The sequence below is a fragment of the Homo sapiens genome, chromosome 6 (assembly GCF_000001405.40).
Source record: "Homo sapiens chromosome 6, GRCh38.p14 Primary Assembly".
NCBI lineage: Eukaryota > Metazoa > Chordata > Mammalia > Primates > Hominidae > Homo > Homo sapiens.
The window spans coordinates 79,151,400-79,156,346 of record NC_000006.12 but is presented as its reverse complement, the minus strand read 5'-3'; the positions used below and the strand labels follow the sequence as shown (position 1 = coordinate 79,156,346).

The window sequence follows — 4,947 nt, the reverse complement described above, 5'->3', positions numbered from 1 at the left end:
AGTAGTTTACAAATTGATAACCCTTTTTAAGAAGGGATGAGACAAATTTGAAAATGAAGACTACAGCTGCAGATCATCCACATCAATTTTGAAGGAAAAAAATGATTTTGTTTGTGCCCTAATTGAAGAGGACCAATGACAAACAGTAGAAACAATAGCCAACACCATAGACATCTCAATTGGTTCAGCTTACACAATTCTGACTGAAAAATTCAAGTTGAGCAAACTTTCTACTCAACGGGTGCCAAAATTGTTGCAGCCAGATCAGCTACAGACAAGAGCAGACTTTTCTATGGAAATTTTAAACAAGTGGGATCAAGATCCTAAAGCATTTCTTCAAATAATTGTAACAGGAGATGAAACATTACTTTACCTGCAATAGACTGAAGACAAAGCACAATCAAAGTAATGGCTACAAAGTGGTGCAAGTGGTGGAAGTGGTCCAGTCAAAGCAAAAGTGGACCAGTCAAGAGCAAAGGTCATGGAGACAGTTTTTGGGTGATGCTCAAAGCATTTTGCTTGGTGACTTTCTGGAAGGCCAAAGAACAATAACATCTGCTTATTATGGTGGTATTTTGGGAAATTTGGCCAACACTTTAGCAGAAAAACACCCCAGAAAACTTTACCAGAGAGTCCTTTTCCACCGTGACTATGGTCCTGCTCATTCCTCTCAACAAACAAAGGCAATTTTGCAAGAATTTTGATGGGAAATCATCAGACATCCACCTTATAGTCCTGATTTGGCTCCTTCTGATTTCTATTTGTTTCCAAATCTTAAAGAATCTTTAAATGGAACTCATTTTTCTTCAGTTAATAATGTAAAAGAGACTGTATTGACATGATTACATTATCAGGATAATCTGTTCTTTAGAGATGGATTAACTAGCTGGTATCATTACTTACAAAACTGTCTTGAACTTGATAAGTCTTACGTTGAGAAATAATGTTTATATTTTTTATTTTGATCTTTTAATTTCATTTTCACACACTTTATAAAGTCCCCTCATTACTATGTGTATGTATGTATGCATGTGTGTGCATTCTAATCACTTACTTTTTTGATGTTGCTCTTCTGTGCCAATTTTCAACTGAGAGGGGACTTTAAAAAACAACAACAAAATAATTTTCTATTGTTTTCAAGATAATTTTAAATGTAAAGTACATTTTAAAATATGGTAGAATACACACCAAAATATTAATTTATGATTACCCTAGCAGGAAAATAATATGGGAGGGAGGATCAATAGTAAGGGAGGAGAGAAAAAGAAAGGTGATTTTAATTTTTAACTTAAGACACTTTTATATTTTTTGAATTTTTATAACAAACATGTACTACTTTTATAATTAAAAAGTGAATTTCAAAATGAAAAATGTAGTTACTACTGCAAAATCCCATTAAAATTGGAAAAAATGTATATTTTGTATTCGTTCATATATTTTTTGAAGTTTGATCTTTTTAAATTTTGATTAAGCCCTTTACAATCTTTTCTATAGGTAAATAATTTAGTAGTGTTAAAAAATGATAATGGTGACAGGAATAGCTGCCAGGTTTTATGCTAAGTGACTTACATATATTGTTTATTTCATTTTCACAAAATCCTATCGGCAAAGGTAGGATTAGTGTGTTCAGTGAGGCTTGAAGTTTATATGATTTGGGGGAGGATAGATCTTTAAGAAAATAATACAAAATTACAGTGGCACTTCACAGGACATTAGAAGGGGGTCTGGGTGGATGAGGGGCCGTAAACTTTAAGCTTTGTAGGCTTCTTTAATAAATCTATCTCTACCCATTAATCACATATTAGTTTGGTTATACATATGGGGAACTGAGGCCTAGAGAGATAACTTACCTAAAATCATGCACCTAACAAGTGGCTAAGCAGCCACTTTGTTTTTCTAAGAGAATTTTTATATCTCAGTGATCACTGACCTGAAGTATTTTCAGTGAGTTGGAGAGAGAGCTCAATTTCTGCCCAGCTCTGACTTAAGGATGTCTGCTTCCCTTAATTACTTACTCCAGTAAGAGACAGAGAGGAGAAAGACGGAAAACTGGAGGAGGGGAAGGAAAGTCGAGAAGGGAGCCAGAGGGACCAGAGGTTGTGCCATTGAGAGAGCGAGAGGTTAGAGAACAAGCAGTGTTCAAATTCATGACCATATTCTTTAAAGGCTGTTTGTTGGCCACCATGGGGCTTGCTGAAAAAAGAAGGGGGTTACATGAGTCAAAGTGTCTGAAGCAACAAGTGTGATTCCTGGTTGATATATACTCTTGATGACTAAATATGTAGGACAAAATAAGAGATGGGGATGTTAGCCAATGCCATTATCATTATCAGGGCAAGGGACAAAAGAGAAACAAAAGAAAGAAAAAAAATAGTGCTGTTTGGGGACCTGAAGCAGAAGGCAGATGAAATTGATACAGTCATTGCATTTACAAGAAGCAGGAAGATTGGCACTTGGAAGAAAGAAGGATATCTTCCAAAAGATGTAAGAGGAAAGAAGGTATATTGGGCAGGTTCCAATCTAATTTGAGTTCTATGTTTTTAATCCTCCTACTAATGCTGATAAAGGCAACAAGGTTTAGGGGGTGATTCTTTAGGGCCAATGACTCCGAGGCAGCCCTGAAGCATCTGCCAATGGAGTTGATGCCCCTTAATTGCTGTTCATCCTTAGGTCCTTCACAAGGCCTTGCATAGGGTCTTTAACAGAATAGGTATTCAAGAAAAGAGTCTGAATGATTCAATCGTGGGGCTCACAAGAGAGGATAACCATGAGCTCTCAAAAAAGAAACCTCCTTGGGGCCCAAAACGTTTTCTTCTCTCTACCCTCTTATTTCCATCTTTCTCTAAGAAATCCCTTCCCCCTAGGAAATTAGTGCACATGGCTGGAATCCCTAAGTAAACTCATAGAGGTAGTTATTTCTCTCCAGATCCATGAAGATGCATAAAATAATTCCATAGGCATGAGAAGACCAAAGGCAAAAGGTCTTCAGAAATAATTTGATTTATAGGTATGTATGAATACACTGATACTGTGCCCATGGATAATTGGTGCTGTGGTACAGTTCTTGGTCACCATCCTAGATTGGACTTTTGATATTTTCCAGCAATTGCACTAGATCTTTCCCCTTTGCCACAGCTCTTTCTTGTTTCTACAGCAATTAATCACCAAATCTCATCAATGCTGCCTCCTAAATACCTCTCCAATCCATTTGTTTTCAAACTTTCTCAGTGCTCCTCCTAATCTTTCCGTGTCTTATTTCTTGATTACATCACCAAACTTCTAATGGATTTCCCACCTTTCCTAGCGTTCCTCTTCTTTCTGTATTCTAGTAATCATCTCCGACTTCTCTTAACTTCTAAAACACACCATATTTTCTTCCTCTGTGCTTGCTCATGTCTTCCTTTTCCCAGAAACACTTTTTTTCTCTTCTCTACCTTTACAATATCTACTTATGCTACAAGTTTCCAATTAAATATCTTTTTTTAGTGAGCCATTCCCATATTCCTCAGCTAGGTTATACTCCCTTCCTGTATGTTATATCATATCAGTCAATTTACTTTATTGCGTTTATTTGTTGAATGTGTTTTCCCTACTAGTCTGTACATTCCTGGAGTGTCTTGACTTCACTCCTGTGTTCTCAGCTCCCCAAGTTCTACCCCAGGAATTCACAGGCCTCTAAGTGCTGTTTACTTTCGCTCCACCTTTCTCCTCACTAAAGCCCAAGGAATCTTTATCTAGTCTGGGAGGGGTTGAGAAGGCTTCTCATCTTACACTTCCTGCTTTTTCCAAATACTTTTGTCTTGCTGAGGCCTACAGTTTTGAAACTCAAAAGCAAAGAATTGATCCCTTTGTTCTCTGCACTCGGCCGTTTCATCCTTCTGCCAACACAACAACGGCAGATGAAATGGCAGAAAAGCAAAGGGTGTAGGAATGTGAATATGAGGGAGGGGGCCAATCAAATGTTATCTCCACCCTCAGTCCACCCCACATTAACAGCCAGCCCTTGACCAAAGGATGACATCTGTTGTCCACGTTCTGTGGTGGATGCTGTGCTGCATTTCCCAGATTACTGCTCTACTGCTACAGGTCTTACTCTCCCTGGAGTTAGGCATTTTGCCTGCTGACAGCTACCAGCTTTTGGCTTTCTCTGAGAATTTACCTGAGCTGTAGAGAGCCTTCTTACCTAATTTTTAGCTTCTTCCCTTAAGGATCTCACATCCAGAATAAAGGCTGGCCTAATTCCAGGAGTTAGCTGAAATCTTATAGCAACTATATCACAGCCCATCTTTTCCTTGGTTATCTCCTGCTTCCTTCCCTTCTCCCAAAGTGTTAATCCCAGGAAGTCTCCAGTAAACTTTCTGCACACCAGTCTCTATCTCAGAGTTTACTTTTTGGGGGACTTAACCTGCAATAGCCATTCTTAGACTTCTTTTGTCTATGAAGATTTTTTTTTTAATTTCCATCCATCTATCTCCCAATTCCTAAAACCTAAAAATGGTGGGAGAATTTTAAGTTGCTTGGAGGCTTCCCTCAAGAAGTCACATGGGAAAAGAATGATAGCTTATTTCTGCTCATTTTAGTTTTAGGATACAGTCAATGGGGATATTGTTGCAAGGAAAAAGAAAAAATAGTGGAGACAAAAAATCTTGTACATTTGCTCCTTTCTAGATTGCATTGAGAAGGAGTGTGTGTGTGTGTGTGTCTGTAGATAACTGGAAGAATTTAAAATAAGATGTTTAAATGAAAGTTGCTGACAATTTTTTAAGTACAAATTATAAAATTTTATAAAATACTATAAAACCAAAAAAACTTCAGTCTTCTTGAAGAGCAGAGCTGATATTTGTTATGCAAATTATGAAATGCCATATTCCAAGACTTCCAGTATCAATTGCTTCTCACTGGAAAACCAAATGAAAAAAAAATCAAGTTGAAGAAAAGGCAACATTA

The 4,947-nt window shown here is 37.4% G+C and overlaps 1 annotated feature.

The window, feature by feature from the left end:
* Positions 3,490–4,213: an enhancer, noted in NCBI's record as "OCT4-NANOG-H3K27ac hESC enhancer chr6:79861851-79862574 (GRCh37/hg19 assembly coordinates)". NCBI's record gives its function as "activates a minimal SCP1, AML or CMV promoter by ChIP-STARR-seq in naive and primed H9 embryonic stem cells {active_cell/tissue: H9 hESC(naive and primed)}" and the evidence as "EXISTENCE:reporter gene assay evidence [ECO:0000049][PMID:30033119]".